Source organism: Homo sapiens, chromosome 5 (assembly GCF_000001405.40).
Source record: "Homo sapiens chromosome 5, GRCh38.p14 Primary Assembly".
Taxonomy (NCBI): Eukaryota; Metazoa; Chordata; class Mammalia; order Primates; family Hominidae; genus Homo; species Homo sapiens.
This window is the reverse complement of record NC_000005.10, coordinates 80859231-80877365: the sequence shown is the minus strand read 5'-3', so window position 1 is coordinate 80877365 and position 18135 is coordinate 80859231. Positions and strand designations below refer to the sequence as shown.

The 18135-nt window shown below is 39.2% G+C and overlaps 1 protein-coding gene across 1 annotated transcript in view; it reads right to left on the bottom strand.

Annotated features, from left to right (window-relative positions):
- The window catches only part of MSH3 (mutS homolog 3), a 222164-nt gene continuing 204579 nt past the window's right edge, over positions 551-18135 (bottom strand). The window contains exons 22-24 of the mRNA NM_002439.5: positions 12424-12553; positions 4079-4250; positions 551-1615 (exon numbers count right to left, since the gene is read on the bottom strand). Of these exons, the coding sequence (NP_002430.3) occupies positions 1504-1615; positions 4079-4250; positions 12424-12553 (414 nt within the window). The 3' untranslated portion in view covers positions 551-1503. The remainder of the gene's footprint in view (positions 1616-4078; positions 4251-12423; positions 12554-18135) is intronic.

Genomic DNA, 18135 nt, shown 5'->3' with positions numbered 1-18135 from the left:
TAAGGTTGAGAGTCAGATAGCTAAAGAGTGACTGACTCAAAAGTGAAGCCACAACTTGGGGACACTGTATTGACTCCTGTGTCTGGCTGGGGTCATTGCTGGGATCACTGAAGATAATAATCCAGAAGAAGGAATTAAAAATATGTCCATCAAATGTGGGGAAGACATTTAACTGAGCAGAAATAATAAAAGAGAGGAAAATAGGATGGAGAGCTTTTGTGCAAGATCATATATTTAGAAACAAAAAGAACACATGGATCTGGGAAGCCAGATTGTAAGTGCTGTAAAAAACCCAGGGACACAGTTGAGCACGTGTTACCCTAAATTTGCAGGAAGGGAGCACTGTTATGAATCAACTAAGCTATAAGGCTCATTACTGGGAAGATGATACACCTGATATGTTAATGAACAGAAAGGTCCCAAATGAACAAGTTCACTTCTGTGTATTGCGCTGGTCAAAGCAGTAACCTTAATTTCATAATTACACCTTAAAAAATGACAATTTCCAAACACTTGGAAACACCAAAATTCAATGGGACATACCATCATCTATAGCAAGTATTCATTAAATATTTATTACTTGAATGAATGACAAATAATTTCATCCAACAATCTTTAAACTGCTTAATCCTATGACAATATTTAACCTTTTAAATTTCATGACCTTATTCCTTCTGTGCTCTAGTTTTTAAAAGCTTGATAATTCTATTTCTTTTCTTTTTTCTTTTTTTTTTTTTGAGATGGAGTCTTGCTCTGTTGCCCAAGCTGGAGTGCAGTGACGTGATCTCGGCTCATTGCAACCTCCGCCTCCCAGGTTCAAGAGATTCTCCTGCCTCAGCCTCCGGAGTAGCTGGGACTACAGGTGTGCGCCACCATGCCCAGCTAATTTTTTCGTATTTTTAGTAGAGATGTACTTTATATTTTTAGTAAAGATGGGGTTTTGCCATGTTGGCCAGGCTGGTCTTGAACTCCTGACCTCAGGTGATCTGCCTACCTTGGCCTCCCAAAGTGCTGGGATTACAGGCATGAGCCACCATGCCTGGCCAATTCTTTCTACTTATAAAAAATTCTTATGTTCTTGGTGGATAAACTGGTTGCATAATAAAATTATTTTAGTTCAATGGATAGATTCCTGCCAGATTCACCCAGTTGCCAATTATCTGAACTGAAACAAATAAAAATATCAAGTAAATTTTTATATCACCCTCCAAAAGCTTGGGAATTATATTCTGCCACTTAAGGCTTTACTGGACTTACTGTCCATAAAATTTTCTAATTACAAAGTGGAAGTCTATTCAAGAGTGTTTATACGTAGAAAAGTTAGGAAGACAGAAACTTGAAAAAGACTGTCTTCAGAAAAACCTCTCTGTTTCCAATAGGAATATACCATGGTCATAATTTTATGCTCACATGTCACACAAAGATAGGCTGTTACTGGAGAGTTATTTTGTACAGTTGGTATTTTTAATTCTCCATTTTTTGTTCACAAATGTAGTCTTCATTTTAATGAAGAAGAGAAGTCTGTGTTTCTTCCATGTTGAACTCCTCTGTCCACTTCTGCAGGTCTTGTGCATTATGCATCGTCCATAACTTTGCAAAATACTTGAGTCTCTTTCTGGGGAAAAATCAAATACTACTTATTTAATAAATGAAATTGCTGGGAGACAATACGTCTCATCAGAAGCTATGAAAAGTCTATAACACTTGAATACCGGGCAGGCTCTATAGTTAGGAAGCTGTGTCAGTGTCACCCTTCCAGTGAAAGGAGCTTTCAGAGCTGCTACTATAATCAAGGGACCCAGGTTACCAATTGCCACTATTACCTTTGTGCCTTCTCCTAAAATCCTTACCCCTGCCAGCCCCAGAGGGGAGAACCTGACCTCCTCCTCCTTCAAACTCTGCTAGAGGCTGGTGGTGTGTGCTTATTTGTACCTGGAGAAAAGAAACTCCTATGAAGTGTTCCCAGGATGAAAAGTAACACCAACCGAAAACAATGAAGCTAATTAAAGAGTAAAACGCCAGCATAACACAGACTTACTTTTTTTTTTTTTCTGCAGAATAGCAACCCAATTGACTATTTAGGGTATGGAGCTAGAGTACCTGAGTTCCAATTACTGCTCCACCATCAAGTAGCTGTGTGACTCTGGGTCAGTGTCCTGTCCTTGCTGGTCTCACTTTCCCCAACTATACCATGAGGATAAGGCTGCCATAAGGATGAAATGAGATAATGTATGTAAAGTGATGAGAAGAGTAGCTGGCACAGTGTGTAGGCTGCTGCAAATGACTGCTCAGAATGGTTTCTACACACAGTAACCATCCAACAAATAGCAACTATTATAACAAATCCACAGTAAGGCCCAAGATGCAGTTTGATTTCTTTGATCTGGCCAAAGGAATTGATGTGATAAGCACTTTTAGAAAAAAGGTAAAATAACAAATACAGTATCTTGATAAATGATCAGATTCCATCCCAATGCAATGTCTTCTAATAATTCTCTCATCTTGTCAAGATAACTTCATAGAGTTCAAAATGTCACTTACTAGTTGGAAGAGTTAAAATATTTATGAGTAATCTGAGAGTTTTTTTGCTCTTGCTTTATAGGCTATATAGCAGAAACAAGAATATATGAAAATATAGAAATTGCCATATTTTATTGCTATCTTGCATATATTTCTACAGCAAATTTAGAAATTGACATATTTTATTACTATCTTGTATATATATCCTTTGTAGTAAAGTTTTATTCTAGGTTTTTTTCAGAGAAAAAGAACAATAATAATATGGCAACTAAAGAGTTTAATTTGTCTCTGGACTTTGCAGAGGAAGAGGGCTAAGTTTATTTTTAAATTCTCATAGATACTTTTCCCTCAGGAAAAATTTTATATTAATCTGGCTTGTAACAGAAATAGGCTGAAACTGATTATGCCACTTTGCTTCTGTTTTGGCATTGCAATTTGGAAATGAGCCAGAAAAGAGTGTCACTAGAGGAGGCTGTGTGCCATTTGTAGAGTCCAGCACTCTGGACTTGGTGAACTACAGTATACCGAAGTGGAGGAGTGCAAGGCGGAAGCACAGGAGAAGGAGGTAGAGAAAGAGAAGTTAACTGCACTACTGTACTTTGGTAAACAAGTTAGCAACTGTTTCTTTAGCTAGTATGATAGGCATTACTATTTCAATATTGAAATTTGGTAATAATTCCCAGAATTATAACCAAATATTAAAGAATATTATTGGAGTATAACACAGGGACCACCAGTAGCCAGCCAAGATTTTCTATTCGATCAACAATCTGTTCATCATGGTCATATGATTATCAACCAGGGTACTAATGTACCCAGCACACCAGGCTCCCCAAGTACGGCAGGGGTGGGGCAGTAGGTGGATGGGGAGCTTATGTTGTTTTAGAATTTTATATTTGGGAAACAAAAGGGTATAATTTACTAATATGATATTTTTCTAGGAATATCTTTCTTTCAAAGTGTATCTCAGGTTTACATTAAGATTAATTTATGTACTGACTACATACTAGCTGGATAGCAAGCGTAAAGGTGGAAAGTATTCCCATAAGCATTTAAAGTGACAGCAGCCTGTTTAGAATGAAAAATTTGTCACAATCTACAAAATAAGTGACATGTGGATACTGACTGTGATTGCCTGTTATGTAATACTATTATTTTCATTAATGCTCTGATAGAATTTCTGGATGTAATCGTTGCATATCTGAATAAAATCTATGAATAAAAGAAATCTTCTGTAGGTTCTCAATATCTTCAGTAACCTTTGGCATACTGAATCTTTAAAGTAATGAATGTGGCACATATTAAGGAGTTAACTTAATTCTTTATAAAAATGACCGAAAAACCAATTTAGCAACTTAATAATGATCTAATGAAGATGGACTGAATTCACCTGAGCTTTGCAAGAGCTGTTTTCACTTCATCATAATTAAATGGTTCAGAATATTTGAAGAGGTGCTTAAAAGTAGACCTGATGTTCATTTTTAGGACGCTCCTCTCTTTCTTGGACAACTTAGAAGGTTTCATTACAAATGAAAAAATGCAGCATAATCACTCTGACCTTTTCGTATTTATTAATCCTTCCAGCTCTTTTGACTTGTGAGCTGCTTTCTTCAAAATTTCTCCAGGAACATCTGCTAGTTTAGCCACATTTAATCCATAACTCCTTGCTGCAATTCCTCTAGTTATTTGGTAAAGGAAGGTGACAAAATCAGGGACTTGTTCTGCTGCGCCTGTGAAATAAAGAAAGGAGATCAAAACTGTGCCTGAAAGCTGAAATAAATTAGAGGATTAAAAAGGACATGTAAGTTCTCATAACTTTATTAAATCGTACAATCTGAAATCACTGTTCCTACTTGCCTGTTAGATCCATTTATCAATTTGATATGTCTAGAAAAGGGTAAATACTGTTTTGAAACTGCTGTGTGCATATAGGATCTATCTTTTAGTTCACTTAAAATAGTTTTTAACAATGATTCATTGCAAATTTGAACTGAACGTCTATATTAAAAAGAGAATGTTTTTATTTATTTACTTTTTTAGAGATAGGGTCTTGTTCTATTACCTAGGCTGGAGTGCAGTGGCACAATCATACCTTACTGTAACATCAAACTCCTGGGCTCAAGCAATCCTCCTGCCTAGCCTCCTAAGTAGCTAGGACTACAGGTTCATGCCACCACACTCAGCTAATTTTTTAATATTTTTTGTAGAGATCAGGTCTTGCTATGTTGCTCAGGCTGGTCTCGAACTCCTGGCTTTAAACAATCCTCCCTCCTTGGCCTCTCAAAGTGTTGGGATTACAGGCGTGAGCCACTGCGCCAGGATGAGAATGATCTTAGTACGTGGTTGATACAATATAATTTCTCCTTTTTATGTTTCTGAGACAGGGTCTGACTCTGTCATCCATGCTGGAGTGCAGTGGCGCAATCTCAGCTCACTGGCAGTCTCAATCTTCCAGGTTCAAGGTGATTATCCCATCTCAGCCTCCCGAGTAGCTGAAACTACAGGTGCATACTACCACACCTAGCTAATTTTTTTTTTGTAGAGATGGGGTTTTGGCCATGTTGCCCAGGCTGCTCTCGAACTTCTGGGCACAAGTGGTCCACCCACCTTGGCCTCCCAAAGTGCTGGGATTACAGGCATGAACCACCATACCAGGCCTATAATTTCTCCCTTAAAAACAGAAAAGAAAATATTACATGTTGGCCAGTTTAAATAACAGGATTAAGATGGTCTGGTTTATTAAATATTCAGGTTAACTAAGAGCTATACATACCGGATTCTGTTCAGTACCACCCAGATCCCACTTAGGACTAAAGAGTTTATTCCCTCAGCTGTCAGAAAGATTGCTGGCCTGCAACCCTCGACTGTTTGCCTTCTTTGGAAATTGTTGCAGCTGAAGGGAGGGGCTTCACCCAAGACCACATCCCGCTTTGGGGCAGCCTACAGCCAGTGACTGGTTGTTGTAGGCAGCCTCTAAGATGGCCACCAAAGACCTCTGCCTGCTGGTGTTCACGTGCTTGTGTCATTCCCTCTCTGTATCATTCCTAACCAGTGACTCACTTCTAACAAACAGAATACGGCAAAAGTGATGAGATGTCACTTCAGAGATTAGGTTACAGAAAGGTTGTGGCTTCTGACTTGGGTACTCTCATTTTGTTGCCTGCCTGCTCTGAGGGAAGCCAGCCGCCATGTTGTGGGCTGTCTGTGGAGATGCTCACATGGAAAGAAACTGATGTCTCCCACCAACAGTTGGTGAGAGCCTAAGGCATGCCAACAGCCACATGAGTGGGCTTGGAAGCAGATATTGGGAGGCTTGGCAAGAGCCATGTGTGGGCTGGGAAGCCTTGACATGGCTGCTGCCCTGATTAGTGACTGACTGTAGCCCTGTGAGGAACCGAACTAGAGGGTCTCTTACAGGGCTACAGTTTTCAGCCTTAGAGGTGTTCAGCTAAGTTGCACCTGGACTCCTGACTCACAGAAATTATGAGGTAATAAATGTTTGTTGTTCTAAGCCGCTATGTTTTGGGGGGTAATCTGTTGCACACTGTTTGCAAATTACCCCAAACTAATAGAGATAACTAATAAAGGTATAGAGGTCTATCCCCCTCACCCCAAGTTGAGGTAACTCTGAAGGACCACTCTAGCCTCAGAGTTCTCTGCAGGGCTGGCTGAAGCCTTTTGACCATAACACAGCCCAGCACTCCGAATGAACCTCCTGAATGCAAATCTCAGAATCTGCCTCCTAGAGGACCCAGCCTGTCATATATATACATACACATGAACTTAAAACTTTAAAAGAACTGGGATATAATGAAGTACAATAATTATCATAAACCACTGCATGTAGTTTAAGCTAAAGCAGCTCAGGATATTATGTAACTTTTATTATGAAATTCAATATAATTGTGCTGCAAAATGTGCACTGTGCTGCAGAAATGTCCAAGGTGGACAAGAGTTACAAAGATTTCTACAATCCCAGTATACTTATGAGTTTATTAAAAGCTTTTTCTCAATCATTATTTCATTTGATAGATGTGTATGCTTTTCTTCTTTTATCAGTGAAAATTTAAAAAGCCAAAGACTGAACATGACAGAGAAAAAGGACAATGGATTTTTCCTGGCCCTCCTCTAAGAATTCGGCAGCAGACAGATAAGAGCTTTCCAAGGGTGGGTGCTGAAGTGGGAGGTGGAAAGAATGCCAACTCACTCAGAAACACAGACCTAAACTTCCGTTGCAAGGCACTGACAGTACCTTTTGCCCCCAAATGAAAGTTGAGAAACACAGGTGCGGAAGTAGGTGGGAACAGATTAGGGAAGATGCAGCTAGAAGCCAGTGCCTGCAAACCTGGATAATTTTTTGTAACTCTTCAAAGTTCACAAGACTAAGAGTGAAGTGAAAGGCAATAGGCAATCAAAAAAAGCCATTTCTTAACTTTAAGACAGAAAAATAGTTTATCACTTCAACTGTGTTAGTCCTAACTGATCTCCCTGTCTCCAGCTCTCCAATATAATCTAGATCCCATGCTGACCTTTCTAAACAAGATTCATTCATCTGTCTGTCTGTCCATCTATCCATCCATCCAGCCATCAGTATTTTCTGGGAGCCTGATAAATGCCACAAAATCCCCCTATCCAAAAATTTGTTAATGAATTTTTTTTTTTTTTTTTTTTGAGACGGAGTTTCGCTCTTGTTGCCCAAGCTGGAGTACAATGGCATGATCTCGACTTACCACAACCTCCACCTCCCGGGTTTAAGTGATTCTCCTGCCTCAGCCTCCTGAGTAGCTGGGATTACAGGTATGCACCACCATGCCCGGCTACTTTTTGTATTTTTAGTAGAGACAGGGTTTCTCCATGTTGGTCAGGCTGGTCTTGAACTCCCGACCTCAGGTGATCTGCCCACTTTGGCCTCCCAAAGTGCTGAGATTACAGGCGTGAGCCACCATGCCCAGCCTATTAATGACTTTTAATTTTTTTATATAGTGTGTGTGTGTGTGTGTGTGTATATATATGTATATATGTATATATATATGTATATATGTATATATATGTATATATGTATACATATATAAAGAGTGCACAAGAGATAGTTGTAACAATGTTCTTATATAATTATATATATAATGTATAATATAGCTACAAAATATAGCTAACTTACATAAAATATTTCACTGCTCTGAATACCTTGTTAACATACAAACAGTTGCTGAGTGTATCATTATATGCTGGTCTCCACTTTAAATTATGGTAGTTCTCATATCTTCAAGGTAAAGAACGCAACCACTCTTCTATAATCGCCTGGGGGATCTCTTTCTGTAATTATGTACTCCTTTAACCTCTGTGTGCGAGAGGGGTTGGGGGTGCTGGTAGGATGGAAATATGGAGTCAGAAAAAGCCACATGGGAGAGAATAAAACTTGTTTTATGAGAAAAACTCTATTTCTTTACAGGCTCACAGCAAAAGTTCTTGATGAGGATGTAACTACTTACAAGCTATGGCCATTTCTTAAATGGACATTATTAAAATGTTTACCTGGCACTGCTTTGAGTCAGTGGAAGTAATAATTCATGTTTCTGCTTATTATGGGGAAACATAGCAAGATTTATATTTAAGCCAAACTTCTCTAAGCAGTTATTAAAGAGATGTGTACTGACAAATAATTTCTGAAGTTGCTTTTAGAACAGATTCATAAAAATTTAGGGGTGAGTGAAGTTAGGTGACTTGTTCAAGATCATACAGATTGGAATAGACTAAAACACAGGTTTCTTAACTGTTTGTCCATTGTTTTACCTATCACATCATAGGAAATAGAGTATTATAGAAGCCATCCAAAAGACCTGTGGGGCATTTTACTGATGACCTACGCAATGGCCTCTACCTCATACAGAAGAGGAGAAGTTGGGGAAGAGGTAATGGATGAAGCACAGATATAGCCAGGAACAATATTGGAAGGCAGCAGGCAGTGGAGCACTGCTTCAAAATTCTGAGTGAAATGGTTTTCAATCTAAAATTCTAATCCTGGCTGAACTATAAATTCGAACATGGAAGCTATAGAGTTGTTGTTTTTTTTTTTAAACTTTTAAGTTCAGGGGTACATGTGCAGGTTTGCTATAGAGGTAAACTTGTGTCACGGAGGTTTGCTGTACTGATTATTTAATCGCCCAGGTATTAAGCCTTGTATCCATTAGTTATTCTTCCTGATCCTCTCCCTCCTCCCACCCTCCCCCATCTAGTAGGCCCCAGTGTATGTTGTTCCCCGCTATGTCTCCATGTGTTCTCATCATTTAACTCCCACTTATAAGTGAAACATGCAACACTTGGTTTTCTGTTCCTGCATTAGTTTGCTAAGGAAAATGGCCTCCAGCTTCATCCATATTCCGGCAAAGGACATGATCTTATTGTTTTTTATGGCTGGATAGTATTCCACAGTGTATTTGTACCACATTTTCTTTAACCAGTCTACCGTTGATAAGCATTTAGGTAGATTCCATGTCTTGCTACTGTGAATAGTGCTGCAATGAACATACGTGTGCATGCGTCTTTATGACACAACAATTTATATTTCTCTGGGTATATACCCAGTAACAGGATTGCTGGGTTGAATGGTAATTCTGTCTTCAGGTCTTTGAGGAATCACCACACTGCCTTACACAACAGTTGAACTAATTTACACTCTCACCCAGCATATAAGCATTCCTTTTTCTCCACAACCTCACCAGCACCTGTTATTTTTTGACTTTTTAATAATACCTATTCTGACTGGTGTGAGAAGGTATCTCACTGTGGTTTTGATTTGCATTTCTCTAATGGTCAGTGATGTTTTGCTTTTATCATTCTGTACATAGGAACGGGCAAAGATTTCATGACTAAGAGGCCAAAAGCAATTGCAACAGAAGCAAAAACTGACACAGGGGACCTAATTAAACTATAAAGCTTTTGCACAGCAAAAGAAACTATGAACAGGGTAAACAGGCAACGTACAGAATGGGAGAAAATGTTTGCAAACTATGCATCTGACAAAGGTCTAATATCCACCATCTATAAGGAACTTACATTTATAAGAAAAAACCAAACCCATTAAAAAATAGGCAAAGGACATGAACAGATACTTTTCAAAAGACAACATATACATGGCCAACAAGCATGTGAAACATTTTCATTCATGAAAAATCTCAAAACTTTTACCTCCTTTAGTTGATATTAGTAGTAGCCTAATTCAACATTTATTCCACCCCTAAGAAAACCTTGATTTTATAAGGAATTAACTCCCTAATCATTTAACTCAGGGGACTGGGTCTTCAAAGCCAGCTCCAGAAGTTGATCCTGATTCATCTAGGCCCATCAAAGTCACCCCTGCCATCCTCTGCTAAGGAGTGGTTTAAGAAGGAGCCTGTTACTCAATTCTGAAAATGCAATGAGGCAATCATGAGATACTGGAAGGCATCTGAGAAAAAGTTCCCTTGTTCTAAGAAAGAGTGAACAGGAAATGCTTGTCTCTTCTTCCTTTGGACATTCTGGACATGATGCCAGGAAGAGCTGCAGTCATTGTCACTAGCCTGATAATAAAGCTGGCCAGGCAGGAAGACAGAGCCTGGGAATTACAAAAAGGAGGAGCTGAAGCCCACTCTTCCTCTGGAAGTCATGGAACATGGGATTATATATACTGCATCCTTTTGTCTGAGCCAGTGTGAGACCGAGTGTTTTGTTCCTTGCAATCACATGCTTAGAAGAGGGGTAAGGGAACTCCTAGGATGCCAGCAAGGCAGGCTTAGGATGACAGCTGTGCCGCAGGCCCAGACAGCAGCCAGTTCAGATGAGCAGGAGGACAAAGGGCTCCAGGAGGAAGGGCCCCAGTGGACAAATGGGAACCAGTAGGTTCAGTTGTGTGGAAAAACATCTAGAGAGGCATTTTACGAAGCTATCTGAGGGTACAGGAAGATTCAGCTATAGACTCAAAAACAAAACAAAACAAAATGGAAAAAATGAGGACAGTCAATTCTTATTTTTGAGAAAATAGAAAACGTTGTAAAAGAAAGAAATGTACTTGTCTCCAAACTTGGCTCATCAGTAAGCAATATTTAGCATGGCAATAATAATGAAAACAACAAGTATGAATGACATACAATACATGTGAAATGACTATACTGGAAGGACAGAGGAAGGGAAAATTGAAGATTCTCAATTAACACAATGAGAGGTCCATCAATAATGTGTCAACTTGATGAAGCAAGAGACATGAAAATACGGATATTACTTAGAAATACAACAGAAAGGGGAAGTGTTGAAAGTAGTTGCCTTGGGACTAGGATGGGGAAGGACGTGAACTGAAGGGATGGAAGCTTGTCAGCAGGAGCCTTTTAGCACCATTGAATTTTAAAAATTATGTTCATTGATAAAAATTAAAATCAGCTAGGCAAGGTAGCTCATCCCTGTAATCCCAGCACTTTGGGAGGCCAAGGCAGGAGGATCACTTGAATTCAACAGTTTGAGACCAGCCTGGGCAACATAGTGAGAGCCTGTCTCTACAGAACATACAAAAATCAGCCAGGCATGGTGGTGTGCACCTGTAGTCCCAGCTACCGGGGAGGCTGACATGGGAGGATCACCTGGGCCTGGGAGGTTGTGTCTGCAGTGAGCTATGATCGTGCCACTGCACTCCAGCCTGGATGACAGTGACACCCCATCTCAACAAAACACAAAAATTAAAATCAATAAAATAAAATGCACAGAACATTTAAGGGAAAGGTACAATGCTCTGGGTTAGTTTTCAGTTCACATCAAATGCGTATTAGCGGCACTGACTCCTCTTCTTCCCTGTTGGTGAACTCTATTCTCTTTGTCCCAAGGGTTTTAGCTTAAGTCTCCTCTTGTCAACCTGGATGCAGATTAATAGATACAAAACTACTTCCATAAGAGAATTTATGATGTGTTTTTCAAGATTGCATGGTGGTGAAAAGCAGGAACTGCCTAACATTACATTTATCTTAGGCCCAGTGCTTTGTTTTATTTGGGCCAGCTGCCTGATTTCTTTTTCAGGTCCATCCCTATTACTTTTCCAAAATAAAATCTGGACTCTGGGGTATCTTGCATGATGGATTTTCCATTGCAGCATACCAATTGCGCAAACCACCACAGGACTACAGGCTGGTGGCTTAAAACAATTACTACTGAACAGAAAAAAAAATGCTAAAGTCTACTGTATTACTTATGGCACTTAAATGTATTGCTATTGGCTAACGGTGTTCTTTTTCATAAAATGTCTCATTTCTGTGACACCAGTAACTGGAAAGACTAGGAAAAATATTGTAGATTTCCTCCATAGCAGCTCTAGCAGAGGGGAACAGAAGAGAACCCAGAAGCAGAAGAAGTGAATTCTAGGCTCATTTTAGCCCCCATCTAAGTGGTTGACATGGTCAAACCACTTTACCTGTCTGAGATTCAGTTTCCTTATAATATTAAAATAAAAACCTATGTCCAGTACAGTATATGGCCCTTAGTAAGTTAAATGATATTTTGGGGAAAATATTGGGCGTTTTTAAAAGATGACTAATTATACTCTGCAGGTGACTGTCATCTGTACTGAGATGAATCATGTAAGAGTACAAGGCACTAAGAGGAAAACCTAAGTGCCCCCTCCACCCACACCCTATTCCTGTAAAAAAAGAGAAAAGGGTTGCCACGACAAATGAGACAAGGAAGACCAGAGAAGGACTCAGAGATAGCAAGGATAAATCTAAATTCTACTTGACCTAAAGCTTAGCAAAAATGAATCCTGACAAATGTTATTTATAGCTCACATTCACAGCTTTCATTATTAATAAGCAGTAAGTTCATGTTCCAACAAACTTTGAGTTATCAAACATGAAAACCAATATTTGTACCAACTGCAGGAATATTTCATACCTGGATCCAGTTTGCTTTCATCCTCACTGACCAAGAATCCCATGTGGTAATTCCCCACCTGGTGTGAGTAATTTTTTTCTAGTTCACAAACTGGCGGATAATGGGTGACAAACAGGGTTAAGGATTTCACCTAAAGCAATAAGACAGAATAAATGTTATTTCATTTTTAAATTTTATTGTAATTAAAATCTGTCTTCCACTTTCTTTTGAAAAATTTTAAATCTTCCTAAAAGTCACAAGAAAAGTACAACGACCAATTATTATATACTGTTTACCTAGATAATCAATTGTTAATATTTTACCATATTTCCCTTCTTCTTCCTCCTCCACAGACACAGACATTTTTTCCTGAACCATCTGAGAATTAGTTGCAGACATCATGACACTTCATCACTAAAGATTTAAGATTCTATCTTCTAAGAACAAAACATCCTCCTATATAACTAGAATACAATTATTACACTCAATAAATATATTATTATTATATAACATATACAGTTCCTAAATCTCCCTAATTCTCCCAACAATGTTTCTTTTTGTCTCTTTCCTTTTTTGTCTTTTATGACATGGACATTTTTGAAGTATCAAGTATCCTTTCGTACAGGAATAGAGTGTGGGTGGAGGGGGCACTTATGCTGTTTTGCATAATGTCTTTCAATTTGGACTTTGCTATTTCCTCCAAACATCATTGCCAGTGAGGACTAAACTCTGATTTTTTTATCTTACCCAAATTCCTACCTAAGGGGTCCAGGGAGTCATGCCCTACATATCATGGATTCTCATCAGATGGGTTTTATTTGACCCTGTATATTGTGACTTGCTTTTCAATATGACTCCGGCACAACATTATGAGACAAGGAAAAAATATTTAACCCCAAGGAGTATATTTCCTTGCCACGCCTTAAATTGCCCTGCAAAGTCTCTTGTGAGAAAAATCCACATTCTATAGAGTATCCCCTTCACCCTTTGTTTTCCTTCCTTTCCAGATCCACGAGATAATCAACTAAGAGCCAGGCACCCTTTTAGGTCTGATAAGAAACATTTTACAACCTCTTCTCTCTCTGTGAAGTCTGCTGAGAGATTCCTCTGCACAATAAAACTTGGTCCCACAATCCTTTATCTTAACCTGAACATTCCTTTCCATTAATCCCAGGTCTTCACATAAACTCAACCAATTGTCAACCAGAAAATGTTTAAATTTACCTGTAGCCTGGAAGCCCCTGCTTGGAGTTGTCCCACCTTTCTGAACCAAACCAATGTATTTCTTTTCTTTTTTTTTTTTTTGAGACGGAGTGTCACTCTGTTGCCCAGTGGCACGATCTTGGCTCACTGCAAGCTCCGCCTCCCGGGTTTACGCCATTCTCCTACCTTAGCCTCCTGAGTAGCTGGGACTACAGGTGCCCGCCACCACGCCTGGCTAATTTTTTCTATTTTTTAGTAGAGACGGGGTTTCACCGTGTTAGCCAGGATGGTCACAATCTCCTGACCTCGTGATCCACCCACCTTGGCCTCCCAGAGTGCTGGGATTACAGGTGTGAGCCACTGCACCCGGCCAAACCAATGTATTTCTTAAATGTATTTGATTTATGTCTCATGCCTCCCTAAAATATATAAAACCAAACTGTACCCTGACCACCTTGGGCGCATGTTCTCAGGACCTCCTGAGGGCTGTGTCACGGGCCATGGTCACTCATATTTGACTCAGAATAAATCTCTTCAAATATTTTACAGAGTTTGACTCTTTTCGTCGATACCAGGAATATTCCATGTATATGTAGGTGATGGGTCCTTCCCAGTGCATCACATCAGGTGGGACGTGATATCAGTTTTACATAACTGGGGATGCCAAATTTGATTATCTGGTTGAAGAGGGTACCCACTAGATTTCTTCACTATACCTTTTCCCTTTGTAATTAATAAATAACCTGTGGCATGACACTTTGAGATATATGAATATCCTTTTCTCCAACAATCTTTCATCCAAAGGTTTTATAATCTATTGATCATTGCTGTCTGAATCAGTTATTATTATAGTCGTTATTAAATGTTGATTAAAAAATTCTTCCTACATTTATTCGTTGGTATTCTGTAAAGCAGAGGTTTCACTTTTCCCCACTCACCTCCACCATTTTAAAGTTTATTTTTGTTAGTGTCAGTATGAATTAACAAATTTTTTTTTTTTAGAGACAGGGTCTCAATCTATCATCCAGGCTAGATTGCAATGGCACAATCATAGTTTACTATAACCTCAAACTCCTGGGCTCAAGGGATCCTCCCACCTCAACTTCCCAAGTAGCTAGGACTACAGGTGTGCACCACTATGCCTGGCTAATTTTTTGTTTTTATTTTTTGTAGAGAGGGGTCTCACTATGTTACCCAGGCTGGTCTTGAACCTGGGCTCAAGGGGTCCTCCTGCTTTGGCCTCCCAAAGTGCTGGGATTACAGGCATCAGCCACTGCACCCAGTCTCATGGATTCTTTAATAAGCATTATTTTAAGGCATATTTTATATATTCTGGAAACCTCTATCTGGAGGAAAGTTAACACCAATCTTAGCCTAAATATTGGCAGAAGGAGGTAATTAAATCAAAGAACTCCAGTTTTGATTCACCTGCCATTCACCTTATTAAAAGTCTGAATGTGTGCCTTCTTTCTGATAACAATAACAAATAAACGTATTAAGGCAGGATTTCTTTAAAAAGCTGTGCTTAAAATCTGCCCCGAGGGATCTTAGGACCACCTATCTCCATGGTGCTCCTTCTCCAAGCTGATAGGCACTTTTAGCCGGAAGACCTAAGGGTCTGGGATCCGACACTGTGCTCCTCAAGGCTGTTCTCGGCCTGCAGCAGCAACACATGACCTCCCTTATTGCTCCTTTCTGATCTCTCTTCCCTATCCAGAGATCAGAAGGAACCATGAAAATAAAGATTTTCATCCATAAAAAGGTCAGGGAAGTTTCTGGTTTCCAGTTTAGCATATAAGAAGGTTGGAGGTTACCTCTCCATCACAAGGAAAAAGTAGAACCAACTGAAAAATCAACTCTTTAGATCTGTAAGAAAAATGAAGTCACAGGCAAACCACTGTCCCCCAAGTTAGAGACAGACAAGCAGATACAAAGAATCACAACTTTCCTGAGCTGAAATGGAGGCAGAAACCTCTGAAGGAACCAGTATCAGGGTAGGAAAACTGGAACTGGAACTGATCAATTGCTGGAGGCTCAGTGTCAACAAGTCTGAGAGTCAAAAAGTGCAGGGGAACCGAGTCATGGGGGAAGGGGGCACACTTTTGTGAGTTTTACTCCCAGGAGTTCCACTTGGTTCTCACAATAAACACTGGAGTAAATTCCCCTTATGCTTCAGGCAAGGGGAAGAAAGAAAGAACTATTTTGAAATGCACCAGGGCACTCTGTTCTTAACAAGGTCTGCCCTCAGAAGAAACTACTTAAGTGGAGCCTAACCTGCTGGGGTTTTATCAAAGCCTCACCTACCTGGGGGAAGGGAAAGACTCAACTCCAGTCTCCTCTAGCCTTCCATATGAGAGAAAGGAAATACCCAACTCCAGCCCACTCTAGCCTTCCTATCCCACCTGAGGGGTGGGAGGGAGGTAAGACTGAGACTTAATCATAGGACTCCTCCCCTAGACCCTTACCAGCACATTACTAAAACCTAACTTACAGCAGTTCCTTTTACCCAATACATCATAGCCAGCTGTCAAGAAAAAGTCGCAAGACATACTAAAAGTAAAAACCCACAAATATGAAGAGACAGAGCAAGCATCAGAACCAGACATAGCTATGGCAGGAATGTTGGAATTATCAGACTGGGAATTGGAAGCAACTGATTAGTATGCTAAGGGCTCTATGGTTAACACAGACAGCATGCAATAACAGATGGGCAATGTAAGCACAGAGATGCATATTCTAAGAAAAAACCAAAAGGAAACGAGAGATCAAAAACACTGTGATGGAAATGAAGAATGTGTTTGATGAGCTTACTGGTAGACTGGACACAGCTGAGGGAAGAATCTCTGAGCTTGAGGACATCTTAATAGAAATCTCCAAAATGGAAATGCAAACAGAAAAAGACTAGAAAAAAACCTCAGAATATCCAAAAAGTTTGAGACAACTACAAAAGATATAACATGCAGCTAATGAGAATACCAGAGAGAAAATAAAGAGAGAAAGAAACAGAAGAAATACTTAAAACAATAATGACTGAGAATTTCCCCAAAGTAATGTCAGACACAAAACCACAGATCTGGGAAGCTTAGGGAACACCAAACGGGATAAATGTCCCCAAAACCACACCTAGACAAATCATATTCAAACTACAGAAAACCAAAGATAAAGAAAAAAAAAATACTGAAGTAAGCCAGAGGGAAGAAACACCTTATCCACACAAGCTCAAAGATAAAAATTACATCTGACTTCTCAGAAACCACAAAAGCAAGAAAAGAGTGGAGTAAAATATCTAAAGTTTTGAGAGGAAAAAAAAAAAAAAACAACAAACCTCTCCAACCTAGAATTCTGTACCTTGCAAAATAATCCTTCAAAACTGAAGGAGAAATAAAGACATTCTCAGACAAACAAAAATTGAGGATTTGTAGCCAGCAGATCTATCCTGAAATGTTTAAGGAAAGTTCTTTAGAAGGAAGGAAAATGACAGGGGTCAGAAACTTGTATCTACATAAAGAAAAGTGCAGCATTGAAGAAGGAACCAGTGAAGGCGAAAAACTTTTATTTTTCTTATTTTTAGTGGATCTAGCATAACATTTTGTTCACAATAATAATAGCAACAGTGTATGCGATTATGTATGTTTATATATATATATATGCTTATGTACACTTAAGTATAAGTGAAATAAATGACAGTGATGGTGCAAAGGATAGAAGAAAGTAATCAGGATTATTTTGTTATTAAAAAATACGTGCATTACTCATAAAGCAATATAGTGTTATTTGAAAGTAGACTTGGATTAGTTGCAAACGTATATTGCAAACTCCAGGACAACCACTAGAAAAAGTAAAACAAGAAATATAACTGATACGCTAAGAAAGGAGAGAAAATAGCTGGGCACAGTGCCATGCACCTGTACTCCCAGCTACCTGGGAGGCTGAGGTGGGAAGGTCACTTCAGCCCGGGAGTTTGAGGCCAGCCTAGGCAACACAGTAAGATCCCACCTCAAAAAACACCCCAAGAAACCAAAAAACAAAAAACAAAAAAAAAAAAAAAGAGAGAAAATGAAATAATATAAAATACTCAGTTAAAACCACATAAGACAGAAAAACAGTGGAAGACACATGTAGGAACAATGAACAAGAACAACAAATAGAAAAAAGTAAAAAATGGTAAATATTAATCCAACTCTATCAATAATCACTTTGAATGCTGATGATCTAAATGCACCAGTTAAAAGACAGATTATCAGAGTGGATCAAAAAATAAGACCTAACTGTATGTTGTCTACAAGAAACTCACCTTAAATATAAAAATAACTACATATTAAAAATATATGGAGGGGCTAGGTGAGGTGGCTCACACTTGCAATCCCAGCGCTTTGGGAGGCCGAGGCAGATGGATCACTTGAGGCCAGGAGTTCAAGACCAGCCTGGCCAACATGGTGAAACCCCATCTTTAATTTAAAAAGAATACAAAAATTAGCCAGGCGTGGTGGCACACACTTGTAATCCCAGCTACTCGGGAGGCTGAGGCAC